The sequence below is a fragment of the Homo sapiens genome, chromosome 16 (genome assembly GCF_000001405.40).
Source record: "Homo sapiens chromosome 16, GRCh38.p14 Primary Assembly".
Classification (NCBI taxonomy): domain Eukaryota; kingdom Metazoa; phylum Chordata; class Mammalia; order Primates; family Hominidae; genus Homo; species Homo sapiens.
In genome coordinates, this window is record NC_000016.10 from 27,156,827 (window position 1) to 27,178,863 (window position 22,037).

Below are 22,037 nucleotides of genomic sequence, written 5' to 3' on the forward strand. Positions count from 1 at the left end.
GGAGCCAGCACACCATCAGCCAGCTGGTGCCAGCACACCCCACTCTACAGCCATAAATAACATAAACAACAGTGAGGAAGCTGTCTCTGCACTGATATGGAAAGATCTTCACAATACAGTACACTGTAAAGTGGGGGGAAGAAAGCAGATGTAAACCAAAATTAAATTCTAAGGCCCCCTCCGAACCATCTGAATGGACCCCTTCTCTCGGCCAGAGCATTCCAAAACTAACCCAAAAAACTAGTTCAAGGCCGTGATGGAAAGAGGGAGCGAGACACTCCTCGTTATATCCTCCTCCCTTTTGGAATTATGGATAGACAGGCTCTTTAAGTCTGATAAGAAACATTTGTAATCTATTCTCTCTGAAGCCTGCTACCAGGAGGCTGCATCTGCATAACAAAACTTTGGTCTGGGCCAGGCTCGGTGGCTCACACCTGTAATCCCAGCACTTTGGGAGGCCAAGGCGGGTGCATCACAAGGTCAGGAGTTCAAGACCAGCCTGGCCAATATGGTGAAACCCTGTCTCTATTAAAAATACTAAAATTAGCTGGGCATGGTAGTGCGCGCCTGTAGTCCCAGCTACTGGGGAGGCTGAGGCAGAAGAACTGCTTGAACCTGGGAGGCGGAGGTTGTAGTGAGCTGAAATCATTCTGCTGCACTCCAGCCTGGCAACAGAGTGAGACTCCGTCTCAAAAACAAAAAACAAAACAAAAAAAAACTTTGTTCTCTACAACCCCTTATTGTAACCCAGACATTCCTTTCTATTGATAATAACTCTTCAACTAATTGCCAATCAGACTTTGAATCTGCCTATGACTTGGAAGCCCCCACCTCCAGTTGTCCTGTCTTTCCGGATCCAACCAATGTACATCTTATGTGTATTGATTGATGCCTTAAGTCTCCTTAAAATGTATAAAACCAAGTTGTAGTCTAACCACCTTAGGCACCCATTAGGCACATGTTCTCAGGATCTTCTGGGGACTGTGTCATGGGCCATTGGTCACTCATATTTGGCTCAGAATAAATCTCTTTAAATATTTTACAGTTTGACTCTTTTCGTCAACACAGCTTATAGAAGAGTATGTAGGGTTTGCTACCTGTTGTGTAATTAAGGAGGGGGAACATAAATACACACACACACACACACACACACACACACACACACACACACACACACACGGTTGCTTGTATTTGAATAAAAACAAAACAAAACAAAAACTGGAAGGCCAGGTGCAGTGGCTCATGCCTGTAATCCTAGGACTTTGGGAGGCTGAGGTGGGTGTATCACCTGAGGTCAAGAGTTCGAGACCAGCCTGGCCAACATGGTGAAACCTCGTCTCCACTAAAATTACAAAAATTAGCCGGCTGTGGTGGCGGGCGCCTGTAATCCCAGCTACTCAGAAAGCTAAGGCAGGGGAATCACCTGAACCCAGGAGGCAGAGGTTGCAGTGAGCCAAGATCACACCATTGCATTCAGGGCTGAACAACGAGCAAAAACTCTGTCAAAAAATAAAACAAAACAAAACAAAAAAAACACTGGAAGAAGATACAGCAAAGTACTAAATGTGACCATCTACGAGCAGAAGGAGAACACAATGGACAGAGAGATGACATAGATTAGTGCTTTTTGGAAATATCTTTTTATGTTATTTTGATTTTCGAGCGATGTAAATATAGCACAGCATCTATTCCAAAAATCAAATTAGGAAAGAAAACACATAAAATGCAATCCAGTGACCTTGACATTCTTATTGGAGCCACAGGCAGGAACTGCTCTAGAACTCCTGAGGTGCAAGCCGTCCCATTTCTTTACATTTCTGAATCAAGTCATTCCTCCATTAGTTAGTGTATTCGTCTGTTCTCATGCTGTTGATAAAGACATACCCAAGACTGAGTAATGTATAAAGAAAAAGAGATTTAATGGACTCACAGTTTCACATAGTTAGGGAGGCCTCACAATCATGGCAGAAGGCAAAAGGCACTTCTTCCACGGCAGCAGACAAGACAGAATGAGAGCCAAGCAAAAGAGCCAAGCAAAACCATCAGATCTCATGAGACTTATTCACCACTACGAGAGCGGTAGCGGGGGATCCACCCCCATAATTCAATTACCTCCCACCAGTCCGTCCCATGACACATGGGAATTATGGAAGCTACAATTCAAGATGAGATTTGGGTGGGGACACAGCCAAACCGTATCAGTTAGCCTAGACAATGAGTTCAACAATGGTCAATTTCCAGAGTCCTCCTCTCTCTGTGGATCTTACAAGCATCTCAGGATTTGGTTCAAATTAAAAAGGATTCAGTCTTCAGTTTGTGTGGTCACCATCCTCACAGTCTCTGTTGAGGCCAAAGGGCACAGGGCCAAGAATAGACATTATAGCTTACTGCCTAAATTCAAACGCTGGCTCTGCCGTTCACCGGCTGAGTGACCTTGGGCAAGTCGCTGAACTTCTCTGTGCTCCCAGTTTCCTCATTTGTAAAATGGGGGTAATAGCATAACAAGACCTATGAGTTAGTGTATTTAAGACAGTGAGACTAGGGCCTGGCGCTTAGTGAGTGATTATCATATTTGCTACAGATATTGTCACCCTGATTGATGCACAATACCTCTCTTAAAAATCACCCTTTGAGATGGATGATATACGCCCCTCAAAGGTCCTCTCCACTGGCACAACCCTGTTTCAGGCACCGTGAACAATATTCCCAAGGCTTCAGGACTGAAAGTTCAGCTTGCACAGCCCTCACAGAGCCACTCCCACCTGAGACCTGCCACCTTGAAGGGCCCTTTGCAACAAAGCCCATCCACATCCCCATTCCCTCTGCCTCTGCTTCCCAGACAAGCCAGCTAATTCTCCTGCACCTTGTAGCCGCAAACACCCAGTGTTCTTATCACCCACATCAGAGTCTCCTAAAGTGTCCATTAAAAATGCAGAGTCCTGGGTCCACCTCAACTTCTAGGGGGCAGGAGCCCAGCCAGTTCCTTGGGTTATTAATATGCATACTGGGATTTAAAAACCACTGAGTTTGGAGCAGGGTCCTAGGGAAATGGAAGGAAAGATTTCTCTCGCTTCTTTCTGATAAACCAAAAGCAGTGAGAAAAAAAGGGGGGGGAAGACCAATTAATTTTCAATAATTCAGTTTCCCGCAATAACTTTGAATCAGTTTAAATGTCATTAAAGTAAATTGTTCCTCAACATGTATTAAGCTACTTTTAATGTCAAATGATGATGACCACCCTCACCACTAATTGCAGCCCCCACCACAAATTTGGGAGGCCAGTACTACGGTGTGAGCTTTTTAACCTTCAGAAACTTTCTTGCCCACTCAACCTTGTCGAGAATCCTAAAACAGTGCATCTCATTTTATGCAAATTTGCATTGTGTGACTTAGATACGAGGCAATTTAAAAATATTAATAAAGACATGCCGTATGCTCCAATTTTGAAATAATGCACGTCTTGCTTTACATGCATCCCTCTGGGAAATTTAGTCTTAAATAATGCATAGCTTCAGGAATGAATCCCTTGCATAAATCTGATAAAAGCTGATCTATTCAATGGAGAGAGGTGGAAGGGGCACCAGCTAACCATGTCTTCCCCCTCCCTCTGCTGCCCTGGAATCTTCTGCAGGAATCTATGGCCTCAGTAAGAATTGGGTGTTTTGTTTGTTTCTTTGTTTTAGAGACAGGGTCTCACTCTGTTGCCCAGGCTCTGGAGTACAGTGGTGGGATCATAGCTCACTGCTTCCCTGAACTCCTGGATTCAAGTGATCCTCCTGCCTCAGCTTCCTGAGTAGATGGGACTACAGGCACACGCCACCATGCCCAGCTAATTTTTTATAGAGACGGGGTCTCACTATGTTGCCCAGGCTGGTCTTGAACTCCTGACCTCAAGCAATCCTCCTACCTCAGCCTCCCAAAGTGCTGGGATTACAGATGTGAGCCACCATGCCTGGCATTCATTTAGGGTTTTTTTGTTTGTTTGTTTTGTCTTTTTGAGACGGATTCTCACTCTGTCGCCCAGGCTAGAGTGCAATGGCATGATCTCAGCTCACTGCAACCTCTGCCTCCCAGGTTCGAGCGATTCTCCAGCTTCAGCCTCCCAAGTAGCTGGGAGTACAGGTGCGTGCCACTGTGTCTGGCTAATTTTTTTGTATTTTTAGTAGACACGGGTTTTCACCATGTTGGCCAGGCTGCACTCAAACTCCTGACCTCAGGTGATCCACCCCCCTCGGCCTCCCAAAGCGCTGGGATTACAGGCATGAACCACTATGCCCAGTCAATTTAGTTTTTTAGGTAAGATTTCTTGAACTGGTCACTCTGCTAAGACCTGTACATCTATTTTCTCTATACAAATCTGTTAGGTGCCTACTGTTAGGTACTCACACTGGAATGTGAATATGTCATGGTAAGATGAACAGGATCCTCCCCTCATGGGGCTTACACACTGATCTAGTTGCCCCAACAACCTGAGAATATAGTATGATTACTGTTCCTATTTCAACATGAGGAAACTGAGGCTCAGGCTGAGATTACACAACCAGTAAGTTGTGCAGAAGCCAGATACGAACCTAGGAAGTCTGATTCCAAAGCTTAACAACGGCTCCATATACTGGCTGACCAGAAGGATGTTTGGGAATCCCAGATCCTGGACGAGTATCGTCCCCTCTCCTTGAAGCATCCCTCTGTGCAGCTCTGCAAATGTGATCCCATTTCTGGTAATGCACTGGGAGAGGAGAGCAATGCTCACATCTCATTGGTCAGATCTGTGTCACATGACCACCATCCCTGCAAGGGAGCTTGGGAAGGTACTTGCTGAGTACCCATTTGACTGTCTTCCATGACTCTGCAAAAACAAACAAACAAACAAACAAAAACATATACAGGTTGAACAGCCTTTATCTGACATGCTTAGAACCAGAAGTATTTCAGATTTTTTCAGATTTTGGAATATTTACAAATATATAATGAGATATCTTGGGGCTGGGACCCAAGCCTAAACAGGAAATTCATGTATGTTTCATACACACCTTGTACACATAGCCTGAAGGTAATTTTATATAGTATTTTAAATAATTTTATGCAGGAAACAAAGCTCAGACTGTGTTTTGACTGTGACCAGTCGCATGAGGTCAGGTCTGGAATTTTCCACATGTGCCATCATGTCAGCGCTCAAAAAGTTTTAGGTTTTGGAGTATTTTGGATCTTGACTTTTTGGATTAGGGGTGTTCACCCTGTGAACTGGGTATATCATAAGGGGCTGGGCACAGTGGCTCACACCTCTAATCCCAGCACTTTGGGAGGCCAAGGCAGGAGGATCTCTTGAGCCCAGGAATTCAAGACCAGTGTGGGCAACATAGAGAGACCTTATCTCTACAAAAAATAAAAAAATTAGTCAAGTGCTGTGGCTCATGCCCATCATCACAGTATTTGGGGAGACTAAAGCTAGAGACTCACTGAAACCCAGGAGATCAAGGCTGCAGTGACCCGTGATCATGCCAGCGCACTCCAGCCTGGGCAACAGAGCAAGACACTGTCTCAAAAAAATTAATTTAAAATAAAATAAAAATTAAATTTAAATTTAAAAATCAAAAATTACAAAATTAATATTGGAAGGAAGAAATGAATATTGGGTAGGTAATTTCAAGTGTCTGCCACAGAAAGAATGCTGGAGGAGGAGTCTTGAAGAATGAGTGGGAAGAAGTTGAACAAGAGTGTGGGAAAAGCCAAAGGGTCAGCACAGTTAAAATTCCAGGAATAGAAGGTGTGTGTTGACTTTGGAGACTCAGAGAAGAAAGTGGAGTGACTGAGAGCTGCAGGCAGACATCAGGATGGAAGCCAAGGCTCCTGGGCACCTGCCAGGAGGAAACATCACCAGACCCTCCCATTCCCAGCAGGCAGGTCCCCAGATAGGTAAGAGGGAAGGGTCAGTGCTTCTCACTGCACATGCATGGACTTTGCATATGCAAAACTGGCCCCATTTTCCAACAATCTGGATGCCCATAGAACTGAAGCTTAATAAACTGACATTTGTATAATAAGATGTGTCTGGGCCGGGCATGGTGGCTCATGCCTGTAATCTCAGCACTTTGGGAGGCCAAGGCAGGTGGATCACCTGAGGTCAGGAGTTTGAGACCAGCCTGGCCAACATGATGAAACCCCATCTCTACAAAAAATACAAAAAATTAGCCAAACATGGTGGCAGGTGCCTGTAATCCCAGCTACTTGGGAGGCTGAGGCAGGAGATTCTTTTGAACCCAGGAAGCGAAGGTGGTGGTGAGCCGAGATCGTGCCATTGCACTCCAGCCTGGGCAACAGATGGAAACACTGTCTCAAAAAAAAAAAAAAAAATGCCTGCTGCCTGTTGACCAGCTTCTCTTCCTTATCCCACTTGTTTTTCTTCCCCACTATATAAACCCCTAACTTTAGTTGGAGGGGAGAGATGGACTTGAGGTTTGTCTCCCTCTCTCCAGCTGACATCGCCTGTAATATGTAATATAAATAATATATGATAAATATAATAGTATAAACATTGAATATAATAAAGCCTTCTTCCATGGCAATACTTGTTGTCTCAGTGATTGGCTTTCTGTGCAGCAGACAATGAGACCTAGAACAAAACCGTAGTATTGAGTAACATATGGATGAGCCACCCCCACACTGATGTGTTGAGCTCCCCATGGGTTAAGCCTCTTATTCAAAAGGGCATGGCATTTCTTCCTCAGAGTAGCCTGTATTCTATGAAACATTATGTTTCACTTTGTTTCTACAAAACTGACCCAAAGATTTTCTTGTTCTTCTTGCTTTGAATTCTGCAGCTATTTACAGCTCTGTACGCTACTGTGGATAAAGCAAAATGGCAAGTTGCACTGGGATCCTGGTGTTTGAGGAGAGTGGAGCATCCCTGCTGCATGCCTGGGAAACAGCAGATGTTGAGTAAATGATCATCACACCTGGGGTGGGCTCCCGGGCCTACTTGCCTTGTTCTCAGTAGTGACTTGGATTTCCCTGCTTTTAAAAGAATCTTTGGCCTCAAGAGTCCTATTTTTCCACCATCAGTATTTAGGAGATTACCCAAAGGGTACCTGCATGTACTCACAAAGTGAAAAGTGAGCCCCCTGGGATCAGCTGCTACCTCACCAGGTACCCCCCATCACCCCATACCTCCCGACATCACTGCTGTGTGGTGCTCTGCAGCAGGGAAGGGAAGTAGGGGAGGAAAACCATTTGTTTGTTTGTTTGTTTTTCTTTTTTAGAGATAGAGTCTTCCCACTGCAATCATAGCCCACTGCAGCCTTGAACTCCTGGGCTCACTTGATCCTCCTGCCTCAGCCTCCCTGAGTAGCAAGGACTACAGGCGTGTGACACCACACCTAACTAATTTTTTTATGTTTTTAGAGACAGGGTCTCTCTGTGTTGCCCAGGCTGATCCTGAACTCCTGGCCTCACATGATCCTCCCACCTCAGCCTCCTGCATAACTGGGATTTGAGGTATGAGCCACTGCACCCAGCCAGATTTTTTAAAATGTACTATGTCACAGTGGCCTCATATCAGAGCCACTTGGGCCCCATGTGTTCCAGTGTTTGCTGAAACTGCTCTTTCTGTCTTTAATTTCAGCTCTCTCCAACCCTGGAATGAGACAGCCTCCCACAGGGTGGAGCTGCCAGAAAGAGCTGAGTAGCCTCTTTGGCTTTAACTATAGAAATTTTCTTGATTATGGTAGACCCTTGGGGATATCTGTTCCAGCTCAGGATCAATTCTCCTTCCCTGGAAACTGCCAATGGGAGGGACCTTATCAGAAATATTTGCACTGTGTAATTCTACTCCCTGGACACAGTGATTAGACCAGGCATGGCCAACTGACCCAAATTGAGCCAACCAGATTTATTTCTCATAAGAATTTAGTGCTGAGGCCAAGATAAACGGGGCTAATTTCTGTAATGGTTGAAGCTTGTAGCCTTGGGGGCTGTGAAATATGGCCTCCATATGAACAGAAAATCTGAGAAAGTGTATCTGTGTGGATGGACAGAGAGAAACAGAGATGAGATGTAGAAAGCCAGACACAGTGGCATGCACCTGTAGTCACAGCTACTCAGGAGGCTGAAGCAAAAAGATTCCTTGAGCCCAAGAATTCAAGACCAGACTGGGCAACATAGCAAAAGCTGTCCCTCAAAAAAGAAAAAGAAATCTTGTGCTTCTTTTTTAAATTTATTTTCAACCTAAGAAAGATGAATGAAGAAACAGCAACAACCACAACCCCAAAAAAAGAGAGAGAAATGGCATGCTGATACCTTTCCACTTCCCAGCTCCAGGCCTTTCTTAAGACTTAGGGATATTCCTGCCTTAACTTTCGTGAGACACCTCCATATCCTAGTCAGAGTCGTTGGTTGCCAGCAACAGACTCCACTATGGCGGCTTTAGGTCACAAAGGCATTCATCAAAGGACATTCATCAAGTCTCCAGAAGAACCAGAGAATCAAGCTTGGACCCCACAAAGCCAGAAGTCCCCAAATTACACTGCAAGAATACTGCAACCAGGCCCCTACAGCTATCCTGCCCACTGCTAGTGCCAGGCCCCTCCTCACGCTGTTCCTGAGAACTGGGTCCTGTACTCCTGCTGCAAGGAAAGCTACAAAGCAGCACTCCTGACTTCTGACATGGAGAGGCAGAGCTCCTAAATAAAGAGACTTCTCATAGCTATTCAAAAGAAACCACACTGGCCAGAAGCAGCAATGCATGCCTATAGTCCCAGCTACTCGGGCAGCTGAGGCAGGAGGATCGCTAGAGCCCAGGAGTTCAAGTCTAGCCTGGGCAACATAGCAAGATCCCATTTCAAAAAAAAAAAGGAAGAAAGAAAAAAAGAAACAACATAACCACATTGCATTACAAATGTCTGCAACATCATTGTGGTAACTTCTGGCTGCAACAGAGTCTTATGATAAAACTCTGTGCCCCAGCTCTGATCACTGGAACAAGCTGGATAGGTCCATTTTCTTGCCAGGGTGAGACCAAGGAGGTGCCCAGAATGGAAAATTTAAGGAGGCCCTCACTCTCAGGCTCGTGAAAGTGCAGGGTCAGCTCCTGAGAGTGGGGTCTCCTTAAATGTTGTGCCCTGAATGCCTCACTTGCCTTATCCTCCTCCAGGCCCTGCTTCTTGCTGCTCCTAAAGGCCTTTGCTTTCTGGATATTTCTCAGTCCTCCTGCAAACGCAGATGGTAGGCCCACACCTACTAGTGTTCTGGGGATATCCCAACATGCCCATGTCCACTTAGAATCCACTGGAATTTCTGACACATTTGTTTGATGCACTAATTAGTTAATAATGGGCCAGACACAGTGGCTCACACCTGTAATCCCAGCACTTTGGGAGGCTGAGGCGGGAAGATCACTTAAGCCCAGGAGTTGGAGACAAACCTGGACAACATAGTGAGACCCGCATTGCTACCAAAAAGAATTTTTTAATTACCTGGGCATAGTAACTTGTAACCTTGGGAGCTCTGAAACATGGTCCCCACATGAACAGAAAATCTGAGAAAGCATATCTGTGTGGGTGGACAGAGAGAAACAGAGATAAGAGGTAGTAATGTGGGCAAGATGGCACATGCCTGTAGTCCCAGCTATTCAGGAGGCTGAGGTGGGAGGATCACTTGAGCCCAGGAGGTTGAGGCTACAGTGAGCTAAGATTGCACCACTGCACTCCAGCCTGGGTAACAGAGCAAGACCGTGTCTCTAAAAAAGATAAAAACAAAATAAAATAAAAAATTAACAATGTTAACAGAAAACACTTCTTGCACACTTACCTTGTGCCAAGCACGCAGGTGTTTCATCAACACCACAGCTCTAGGCAGTATTCACTACCATTATCTCTGTTTTCCACCTTCTGAGGCACAGACAGGTGAAGGGGCTTGCCAAGATCACACAGCAAGGAACAGAACCAGGATTTGGACCCAAATCTCCCCACTGCCCCTATGAAGCCCCTTCAAGGAAAGCAGCTGCCTGTCTTTGAAAGCCAAGGAAACAGTGGAAATGACAAGTGTTAACCCACTCGTGGCATGTTAGAATGACTGTGGAGCTATTGAATCCTCGGCCCTTAAATCCGCTAATTACAGTTACAATCAATGGCATTAGTGTAAGGGCTCATTCTATTACCAAGACGGTGACGCCGGAGCCCACCAAGCCCACCCACTCCACCAACCACAGGCTCTTGAAATGAGCTGAAATCTGCCTGCTTCTGACCGGTCATCTGGGGCCAGATTCAAGCCTCCAGGCTCAGCCTCTCTTTCCTCTCTGTGGCCTGGCCGGGAGGACAGGTTGTTTTCTTCAGAATCGCCACCCAGACCCAAAAGACAACGGGTTTCCAGAGGCCCCGCACAGCCTTGGCGATGGGAAGCAGATTTTTGCCATTTTCTTCTTTTAGCCAAGGGACATTTAATTAAGGCTCACAAAACCCGCCTAACATATGATCATAATTATATCAGCATATTGGGGCTGGGAAGCTTTAAAGCCCAGTTACAAGTTGGTCAAAGACAGGCATGCAGAGGCCTGGAGAGGGATGGGAGAGAGGGGAAAATGTACTCTCTGGTGACACCAAACCAAAACCAGTAAGGGAACGGTGAGTGGGATTTGCCTGTGGGATAAGGGAAGGGGAAAGGCAAAAGCTGGGCTCTGGGGCGTGTTTTGATATTGGAGAAACTCACACGTTTTACAGGATGCACTTCTGCTCAAAGCAACTGTTTAGGCAGGGAATGGTGGTGAATAAGGCATGAATGAGAGAGCCCAGTAATCGCTGATGATAGCAATGACGGAAAACACAAATCACAGTCCCTTTCATCAGCATGTTTTCATCTTTGGCATTTAACACTAGCCTAAAGCCCAGGAGAGACTCAGAAAGTGTTCGTGACTTGTGCAGGGTTGTATTGGTGCTGGTGAAAATATTGGTGATGGCGGCCAGGAACCATGGCACACACCTGTAATCCCAGCACTTTGGGAGGCCGAGGCGGGGAGCATCGCTTGAGGCCAGGAATTCGAGACCAGCCTGGGCAACATAGAGAGACCCCATCTCTACAAAAAAAAGTTTTTTAATTAGCTGGGGGAGTGTATATTCGGGGCAACTTGAATGTATGCTCCCAGGTTACAAAAATTAAAAAAAAATAAAAATTAGCCATGCATGGTCATCACACATGCCTGTTGCCTGGGTGTTTGAGGTTCTAGTAAGCTATGATCGTGCCACTGCACTCCAGCCTGGGCGACAGAGCAAGAACCTCTACCTTAAAAAAAGATAAAAAAGATAGTTGGGGGGACAACAGTGATGGCAAGCACAGTGGAATGATCGTGACAGGGCTGGGGGTGGTGAATGAAGTCGATCACTGAATGGTGATGTGAATGGTGATGTGAACAGGCTCATAGAGTCGGGTGGTGATGCTGACAGTGCAGGTGGAGATAGTGGCAGCAGAGAGGCAGTCATGGCAGGGGGATGGAAGGGTTGATGATGCTGATAGCGGTGGTGATGAGGGTGTCAGGAAGACGGTAGACATGGTGACATTGACAGTTTGGTGATGGCTCGGTGGTGGTGGTAGTGCCCAGGGTGATGGTTATTGTCATGGTCATAATAAAGGACGGTGGGCTGGTGATGGGCTGGTGGTGACATAATATGAAGAGGACAGTGGTGCATAGCGGCCCATGCTGAATGAGGATGGTGATAATAGGGTGGTGGTGATAGGGATGGTGACAATGGTAGGGGAAGAAAGATGAAGGAGGATGGAGAAGGGAGGGAGGGAAGAAGGATCCTGGAGCATCGGCGTCATCAGGCTATGGACAAGAGCTTAGTTCCATTTCTTACCCTTTGGTCACTAGAAGTCAAAAAGCTCATTGTCTGCCAGGACAGGGACCCTTCCCCTGCCACCACTTCGGCTGAAATGCACAATCCTGCCCTGCAACAACACCCTTCCTGGTGGGAAGATTGGCACAGACCGGGTTTCATGAATGCATACACACCCTCCCTCTCGCTATTGTCTAAACCATCAATTAAGTTCCCCGGGGAGTAAAGACAGCAGTACCGTGTGGTAGTTAAGAATCTGGGCTCTGGAGTCCTCTTCGATTTAAATTCTCAATTGTGCTGTGTGACCTTGGATGAGTTGCTTAACCTCTCTGAGCCTCAGTTCATATGTATAATGAAGCTCATAACAGCACCTGCCACCCAGGATTGTAGTGAGAAGGATGGGAGACGATGCTGCAAAACACGTGGCCCATCAGGAGTCATGGCTCAGTGCCCCATGGGGAGTCAATGATGTTGGTTACCATTGTTATCATCTACCACTGCTTTTGGAAAAGCAGGAGGGAGGCTGGGTGCGGTGGCTCATGCCTGTACTCCCAGCACTTTGGGACACTGAGATGGGTGGATCACCTGAGGTCAGGAGTTCGAGACCAGCCTGACCAATATGGTGAAACCCCATCTCTACTACAAATACAAAAATTAGCCGGGCATGGTGGCATGTGCCTGTAATCCCAGCTACTCTCTACTCAGGAAGCTGAGGTAGGAGAATCACTTGAACTCGGGAGGCAGAAGTTTCAGTGAGCTGAGATCATGCCACTGCACTCCAGCCTGGGCAACAGAGCGAGACTGTCTCAAAAAGAAAGGGAAGGGGAGGGGAGGGGAGGGGAGGGGAGGGAAGGGAAGGGAAGGGACGGGATGGGAAGGGAAGGGAAGGGGATACAATAGAATCTGATCTCCAGGATTCTGGGAGATGAGGGAGTTGGCATCAAAAGTCCCCTTTTCCCAGACTCTGCAAGCTCTTCAGTGCCATCTGTCTGTGCAAACACACTCAGCAGGTCACAAGAGGCAGGCTGCTTGCACAGCAGCCGCTGCAGAAGTTAGGCCGGAACCCCATCACAACGGGCATCAATGAGTCAAGCTGGTTTGCCTCTGGCTGGAAACAGTAGGGACAGGCTCTCCACTAGAGCAGTCTGGTGGTGTAATTTAAGTGCCCCGCTTGCATACATAGTCTCCAAATCTGATCATAGCCCTCTGGAAGTTCTGTGATCTATTGAATCATGTCGTATTCTTCCTGTACTTAAGCTTGCTGGTGTGGTTTCTGTGGTTTGCAACAAAGAATCTTGAGTGATAAAGCTGAGTTCTAGCCTGACTGATAAAGCTGAGTTCTGGCCAGGCATGGTGGCTCATGCCTGTAATCTCAGCATTTGGGAAGTCTAAGGCAGGAGGTATTGCTTGAGGCCAGTAGTTCAAGACCAGGCTGGGCAACATAGCAAGATTCTGTCTCCACAAATAAAAAAAACACAAAAATTGGCCAGGCACGGTGGTGCATGCCAGTAGTCCCAGCGACTTGGGAAGCAGAGGTGGGAAGATCACTTGAGCCTAGGAGAGCAAGGCTGTGGTGAGCTATGATCACACCACTGCGCTCCAGCCTGGGCAACAGAGTGAGATTTTGTCCACCCCAACCAAAAAAAAAAAAAAAGGCTGAGTTCTAGGGCTTCTAGTCTGTCTCCCTTGATCAGAAACTGTCCTTGTTCAAGCTGCAGTTTCATTTAGCCCTAAACCCTCTGCAAGGGGGTGGCACTGTCTGGAGAGCCTTGGTAGGCCAAGCCCCAGAGGACTGGGCAGTAGTTACTGCTTCATTCATTTTCAATCAACCAAAATGTATGGAAAGCCTGTTACGCTTCAAGTACCCCACAGTCCACTGGAAAAGTGTCACTATGGCATTCGTGTATGGTGCATGCTGTGACAGGAGCCACAGAAAGAATAGTGATAATGTGATAATGTCACCTGACACTTATTTAGTTCCTCCCATGTAATTCTAAGTACATTTGACTCTTAAACAATGCAGGTGTTGGGACACAAAATCCCCACACAGTTGAAGTCTTAGTATAACTTTTTTTCCCCAGAAATGGTGTCTCACTCTATCACCGAGGCTGGAGTGCAGTGGCACAATCCCAGCTTACTACAGCCTCCAATTCCTGGGCTCAAGGAATCCTCTAGTCTCAGCCTCCCAAGTAGCTGGAATTACAGGCTGATACCACCAACCCCGGCTAATTCTTTTTACTTTTTGTAGAGACAGGGTCTCACTTAGTTGTCCAGGTCAGTCTCAAACTCCTAGGCTCACGCACTCCTCCTACCTCAGCCTCCCAAAGTGCTGGGATTACAGCTATGAGCCACCACACCCAGCCTCAACTGTACTTTAATTCACTTAATTTCCACTATACTTAATTCCCACTTCATTATGAGATAAACAATATTATTATTCTCATTTTACAGATGAGGAAATTGAGGCAGAGGGAGGTTAAGCTACTTTCCCAAAGTCTCATGGCTTATTTGTGATAGGCCAAGATTGAGGCCAAGCAGTCTAACTGGGTTCAGCTCTTAACCACTCAAGTATACTGTTTCTCTAAGGCTATTTAGTGGCACGTAATAGAGGCACCTAACCTGGTCTTGGGGGACAGAGGAGCAAGGGAAGTTTGCCTGGAAGCACTGTTGTCTACCTTAAGGCCTAAAAGATCAGTAAGAGACAATGAGGTGAAGAGATGGGAAAAGAATGATCTTGGCAGAGGGAACAGGATGTACAAAGGCCTGGAGGTGAGAGAAAGCTACAGCTAGCACCACTCATTTTTCTGAGCTGTTTCAAATATGAAAGTTTATGGAGAGTATAAAAATATAAGCTGGGTATGGTGACATGCACCTGTAGTTCCAACTACTCAGAAGGCTAAGGCTGGGAGATCGCCTGAGCCCAGGAGTTCAAGGTCAGCCTGGGCAACGTAGTGAGACCTCATCTCAAAAAAAAAAAAAAAAGAAAGAAAGAAAGAAAGAAAAAAGAAAAAGAAAAATATAGATCACAAGGGAAGCTGTCTTTTCTTTTTTGCTTACTATGTGTGTATTAGTCAGGATAAGTAATACTAGCTGCTGTAACAAACAAACTTACTATGTGCATATTAGTGAGGATAAGTAATACTAGCTGCTGTAACAAACAAATCACAAAATGTCAAAGATTTACGTGCTAACTGTTGATTTCTCCCTTATGAAGAGTCCCACGTGGAGATTCCCAGCAGCCATCCATGTTGAGCTTCCGATGCTGCTACTCACAAACCAGGCTCCTTCTATCTGTGGATCTGCCATCTTTGAGGGCAAGCATCAGCAAACTGTTCTATAAAGAGCCAGATAATAGAAGTTTTTGCCTTTGTAGGTCACAGGGTCTCTGACACAGTGAGTGTACTCTGCCCTTACGGCACAAATGCACCAACAGGGAATACACAAATGAATGGATGTGGCTGTGTTCCAGTAGAACTTTACTTATGAAATCAGACCACAGGCAGAATCTAGCTCATGCACCATAGTGTGCCAACCCTGTCTTGGGTATTAGAGTCTTCTGCCGAATCCTCACATCCAGCCAGCAGTCAGGGGAAGAGTAGAAGGGGACTCGTGGGGAAGGTTTCAGTAGATCAAGTCTGGAAGTAATGACATTACTCACGCCTGCATTCTGCTGGCCAGAACTTGGTCACATAGCCACATATGACAGCAACGTGGGCTGGAAAATATAGATTATGTACCCAGGAGGAAAAGGAAAGGGACTTTGGTGAATGCACAGGAGTCCCTGCCATGCACACTTTATGTATTAATACATCCTCTCACTCACTAAGAGATAGGAAGGAAGAAGTTATAAGTGGCCCCATTATACAGGTGAGCATATTGAGGCTTGAGGAGGCCTAGAGACTAGCTGGGGTCACAGAGTCAGTGGAAATGTCTGTCTATAATTAACCTCCACAAGCAGAGTCTTGAGGGTGAAGATAAAAAGGCACGTAACTCGGGCTGGGCACAGTGGCTCACCCCTGTAATCCCAGCACTTTGAGAGGCCGAGGCAGGTGGATCACGAGGTCAGGAGTTCAAGACCAGCCTGGCCAATATGGTGAAACCCTGTCTCTACTAAAAATACAAAAATTAGCTGGGCATGGTGGTGCGTGCCTGCAGTCCCAGGTACTTGGGAGGCTGGGGCAGAAGAATCACTTGAACCTGGGAGTCAGAGGCTGCAGTGAGCCGAGATCACACCACTGTACCCCAGCCTGGCTGACAGTGACAAAGCAAGGCTCTGTCTCAAAAAAAAAAAAAAAAATGGCAAGTAACTCAATCTTAGGGGAGGGGAACTCCACAAAGGACCATGAGTTTGGGCTAAAACCTGCCTAAGCCACAAACCTAGGTGCTGTGCTGATTTTTCCCTGTCCCTCACCTAATACAGCTTGTAAATCCAGGCAAGAGGGTCCCCACACCTTGGAGGACACTGGGCGGCTCCCCCCAGACCCCCACATCCTAGCACAGAACCCAGGGAAGTCAGAAAAGACCTGATGCAAACCTGGCCTTTCAGGTCACTATGAAGAGAGATTTCTCAGGGCAGGAGGACAGAACGGATTTCATGTCATAGTGTTGTTAGCTTGATATATAACTTGTAAATATTGCACACAGGGTATGTGAACCTCCATTTACACACAAGCCTCAACCTGCCAAGAGTGGGGTTGAGGGTTGCTCTTGGTGCCCCCAGGCACAAGGCAGTGACCCTGAAGCCAGACCACCTGGATCTGAACCTCAGCTCTGCCACTGCCCAGCTGTGGGCTCTCGAGTAATTTACTTAGCCCTTTTGTCTCAGTTTCCCCATGTTAAAATGGAGATAATAACAGTTCTAACCTCATAGGGTTGTGGTGGGGATTTAACTGAGTTAAAATTTGAAAAGCGACCCGGCATGGTGGCTCATGCCTGTAATCGCAGCACTTTGGGAGGCCAAGGTGAGAGAATCACTTGAGCTTAGGAGTTCAAGACCAGCCTGGGCAACACGGCAAGACCCCTGTCTCTATAAAATATTAAAAAATTAGCCAGGTGGTGGCGCACCCTGTAGTCCCAGCTACTAGGAGGCTGAGGATGGAGGATTGCTTGAGCCCAGGAGTTTCTTCAATCTGGCAGACAGAGCAAGACCTTGTCCTAACAAAATAATAATAATTTGAAAAGCACTTAGAATTGTGCCTGGCATGAGTAAAGGTTCTGTTAAATAAATAAATTGCCCCCTGCCCAGCCCGCTGCTGCAGATCCCAGCCTCTCCGTTCATCTGGAGGGCAACATCAAGTGAGTAACCAATGTCATCAGCTTGTGGCATTTCTTCTCTCTCTGAAAGTCATAGCCCTGAGGTGGCAGTTACTGTCTCTTGCTGGTCCTGCAAAGCAACCTGTTCAAATGCCAACTGCCACATGTCACCTTAGCTGGCAGAAGTTGTTCCACCTGGTAATAGCCCAGAAATTATGATGCTTTGCTGTTCTACACGAAAGTACAGGCTGGGGCTATTTGTAAGCTTTGGCACCTGCCACTCTAGGCAAAGCAGATGGCAGAGATAAAAATCCAGGGCCAGGCAGGCTGATAAAGAGCTGGCCTTCATTACACAGGATGCGGTTGAAATGCATCAGCTCTTTCCTGCCTGCAGACGGATCCACCTGCCCTCCCGCGCCTGGCTGAGGAGGGGCGCAACGGATGGAGTATATTATCTCTTCTGTCTCATTCAGCTTCTGGTGAATGGAAAGAGATGGGCAGGAGGCGACCCAGGAAGGGGCTCAAGGTCAACCTCAGCCTCAGTCCAACCCTAAAATCCTCCCCCAGATTCCAGACCCTGGACCCCATCACTCCTCAAGTAAGGAGGAGATATTAATTGGTCCATTCTGGTTGAAGGTCAATGTCATAGATCAGGTGGTTCTCAGGCAGGGCTGCATATTAAAATGACCTGGGAGATTTTTATAAAGTGCTTGTGTTCTGACCTTACTCCATGAAAGTGAATCAGACCCTCTTAGGGTGGGGACCTGACATTGGTCATTTTTAAAATCTCACCAGGTGATTCAAATGCGCAGTCACGGGTGAAAGCCTTGGACCTAGATTTTAATTCTGATTAAACCTTCACTATCATATACCTGCTCTGGCCAGGCTGTGGTATTTTATTTCATCCTCACAGATAATCTGACAAGATGGGTCTTATCATCTTGGTATTACAATAAACCAAGGCTCAGAAGAGAAGCGATTCAGCAGATGCACCTGAGAGCAAGCGCTTAACTGGAGCAATACCCTGAGAATGACGCTATGGTCTAAGAAGAATGTGTGTTCAGAGTTCCACGCTAAGGAATCTGGGAGTGGCCAACGTGCAGATTCATTCCTTATCTACGAGGAACATCTGAAACCCAGCCCATCCCATGAAACATAGGCCATACAGGGGATGGAGGCTCTTTGTTTTGGGTTAAATGAAGGTTGTCAGGAGGAGGCTGTTAGGGGTGCTAGTGCACTAAGTGAAATTGCTAGAGTGCTAAGTGGAAATACTATATAATCTGCAAGCTTTTTACAAATGGTAGTGGTTCTCCTGTCTAGCCCGCCACTACTGGACTGCCCAGTATGTAAGTCCCCTTAATAAACCCTATATCTTGTTTGCTGGTTCCAGTTCTCTTCTTCAGCCTCTTTTTATTTTATTTTATTTTTTTGAGACGGAATCTCACTCTGTCGCCCAGGCTGGAGTGCAGTGGCAAGATCTCGGCTCACTGCAACTTCGCCTCCCAGGTTCAAGCCATTCTCCTGCCTCAGCCTTCTGAGTAGCGGGGATGAGAGGTGCCCGCCAACACACCCAGCTAATTTTTGTATTTTTAATAGAGACCGGGTTTCACCATGTTGGCCAGGCTGGTCTTGAACTCCTGACCTCAAGTGATCCGCCCACCTTGGCCTCCCAACATGCTAGGATTAGCATGCAAGCCACCGCACCCAGCCCTTGGGCCTCTTGAACACGGTGCCATCCTTACTGAAATCAATTGAAGTCTGGCACAACACCAAGGTCACACAGCCAAAAGCAGCAGCAATAGTCTTAAAACTCCACCTTCAGGGTCCCCTGTCACCTCTAACTTAGCTTCCCACGCCTAGAGTATGGGAGCCTGATTGACAATGTTCACCTTACTGTCCTCAGGTTTTTCCATTCTGCTTCTCCCCTCTTCTTCTGTGGAAGCCCAGGAAACACTGTGCTGAGGAATTAGGAGGCCTGGGATTGAATGCCAGTTCCACAGCTTTGCAACTATGTTAATAACATCTCCTTCTGGGGTTTAAAGGGCATCAGTGCATGCAAAGAGCCTAGGTGGAGGCCACCATGTGGTCAGCGAATCTCATTTCCAGTTTCCTCCAGGGACCCAGATAGACTACACATCTCCCAGCCTTCCTTGCAGTCAGGCGTGATCATGTGACCAAGTTACGGCCAGTGGAAGTGAGCAGAAGTGACATCATCGCTTCCAGACCCCGCCCATTAGAGCCTCCCACATGAGCTCCCTCTCTTCCAGACTCTGCTGGTTGGATGAAGTGGATTCACTTTCCTCATCTGTAAAATGGGATGATGAGGATCACACACACGGTGAGGCAGGAACGAGTGGATCATGTGAAGCACTTGTTCGCAGTGCCCTGCACAGTCAACAAGGTAAAAGCATGAGCTATTATTCTCTCCACCTGACAGAGGAAGCAAGGATGGACACTCTCTCCTCCCATGCCCCCACTATCCCTCCTCCTCAGATACAGCAACTCTGTAGGGCCAGGGATGTGCTTGTGAATGGGACTGGCTTCCCGGGAAAGGCAAACAGAGCAGGCAGTGGTGACTGTGGGCAAATTAACCTGTTTGGCCTTTCCTTCTTCTTCTTGAAAAGAGAGAGAGAGAAATGATAGACCAGGTGTGGTGGCTCATACCTGTAATCCCAGTGCTTCGGGAGGCCAAGGTGGGAGGATCACTTGAGGCCAGGAGTTTGAGACCAGCCATAGCAAGACTCCATCTGTACAAAAAAAATTAAAACTTATCTGGGCATGGTGGCACATGTAATCCCAGCTACCCAGGAGGCTGAGGCAAGAGGACTGCTTGAGCCCTGGAGGTTGAGGCTGCAGGGAGGCAGCAGTGGACTTGCTGCCCAGGCACGGTGGCTCACGCCTGTAATCCCAGCACTTTGGAAGGCCGAGGCAGGCAGATCACCTGAGGCCAGGAGTTCGAGACCAGCCTGGCCAACATGGTGAAACCCTGTCTCTACTAAAAATACAAAAATTAGCAGGGCGTGGTGGCACACGCCTGTAGTCCAAGCTACTCAGGAGGCTGAGGCAGGAGAATGAACCCAGGAGGCGGAGGCTGCAGTGAGCTGAGATCATGCCACTGCACCCTAGCCTGGGCAACAACGTGAGATCCTCTCTTTAAAAAAGAGAGAGAGAGAGAGATGCTAGACTCTACATAAGATTGTGACAACTGATCAGGGTAATTCTCTAAATCAGTGTTTCTCAAAGCATGGTCTCCAGACATGCAGCATCAGCCTCACTTGGTAACTTGCTAGAAATGCAGACTCTTGGGCCCCACTCCAGACCTGCTGAATCAGAAACTCTGGGGCTGGGCCCAGCAATCTGTGTGTTAACAGGCCTTCAGATAACGCTGATGCACACTCGAGTTTGAGAATATAAAGGGCTGACATGAAGGGCTTACCACTGTGCTTGTCCTGTGCACGTGAGAAGCCCTCCTAAAAATTGTCTTTCGTCTTTGGAGGGGATAAGCTGGACCCTGAAGAGTAAGTAAAATATGGCAGCATCTTTGCATCTCATCCACAAATTTGAGTTGCTCAGAAATACATCACTTCTTAAAAATGTTCGGTGACTCACTGAATCTCCGACTCATATCCTCCACGTTGCTGCGCTGGCATAAAAGTAAACTTCAGTCCTTCTTGACTTTTCCATGCCTTTCTGGGGTTGGGTGTTGGTTCTTGGGTTTCACACAGTGCTGAGAGGCGTCTAGGTCCTCCATCCACTTGGGTGACCATTCAGCTCTTCATCCTTCCGGTCCACATGACCCCTTCCAAATTAGAAGCCTCGGCTGCTCTCAGAGCTCGCTTGGGGCCCCAGGCTCTTCACTGAAGCTGCCTTGAGCACCATCATCCAGAGCCACAGACTCATATGCCCAAAGGGACCAGGTTCATCAAGGAGACAAAGTGGACTGGCTGGCCAGGTGCGGTGGCTGACGCCTGTAATCTCAGCACTTTGGAAGGCCGAGGCGGGCGGATCACCTGAGGCCAGGAGTTCAAGACTCGCATGGCTAACATGGTGAAACCCCGTCTCTACTACAAAAATTAGCCAGGCACGGTGGCGCGCGGCTGTAGTCCCAGCTACTCAGGAGGCCGAGGCAGGAGAATGAACCCGGGAGGTGGAGACTGCAGTGAGCTGAGATCGCGCCACTGCACTCCAGCCTGGGTGACAGAGCGAGACTCCATCTCAAAAACAAACAAAGTGGACTGGCTGTGACCCAGCAGCAAGAGGTGGGGACTGTGGGGACGTATCATGTTTGTGCCAGGCTCACAGGCGTGCCTCTGGAAACACAGGCCTAGCGCTACCAGATCTCTTTATCCAGACAAGCTGCAAATCTAAATCTGAACTTTCAAGAGAAATTTGAAATAATCTATCTTTTATTTTCGATGTTGTTGTTGTTGTTGTTTTGGTTTTCTGAGACAGGGTCTTTCTCTGTTGCCCAGGCTGGAGTGCAGTGGCATGATCATAGCTCACTGGGCTCAAGTGATTCTCCCGCCTCAGCCTCCTAAGTAGCTGGGACTACAGATGAGTGCCACCACGCCTGGCTAATTTTTTATTTTCGTAGAGATGGGGGTCTTGCTATGCTGTCCAGGCTAGCCTCAAACACCTGGCCTCAAGCAATCCTCCCACCTCAGCCTCCCAAAGTGCTGGGATTACAGGTGTGAGCCACCACACCCAGCCTCAGTCTTTTAAATTTTGGAAATCCATCAGAAAAAATTAAAACACTACATGGGCCAAACCAAACGGCTGTGAGCAGGATTCAGCTCAAGTGGGGATGAGTTAGGGTTTCCGGGCTTGGAGGCAGCCTCTTCTCCAGGGTCCTGCTTCCTCCCCAGGGAGGTGCCAGGAAGCACAACCCCAAGACCCACAGCCCAGGATCCCACTACTCCCTCTCTCTCTTCTCTCTCCCCCAGCCACAGGAAGTCTCTCTGCAAC

The 22,037-nt window shown here is 47.3% G+C and overlaps 1 long non-coding RNA gene across 1 annotated transcript; it reads right to left on the reverse strand.

Moving 5' to 3' along the window:
- Nucleotides 1–1,784: 1,784 nt before the first annotated feature.
- LINC02129 (long intergenic non-protein coding RNA 2129) lies at nt 1,785–19,761 on the reverse strand. The gene is made up of 4 exons (NR_170200.1): nt 19,737–19,761; nt 15,004–15,153; nt 4,572–4,846; nt 1,785–1,866 (listed from the first exon to the last, which is right to left on the reverse strand). It is a non-coding gene; the product is annotated as a long intergenic non-protein coding RNA 2129 (long non-coding RNA).
- Nucleotides 19,762–22,037: the final 2,276 nt, after the last annotated feature.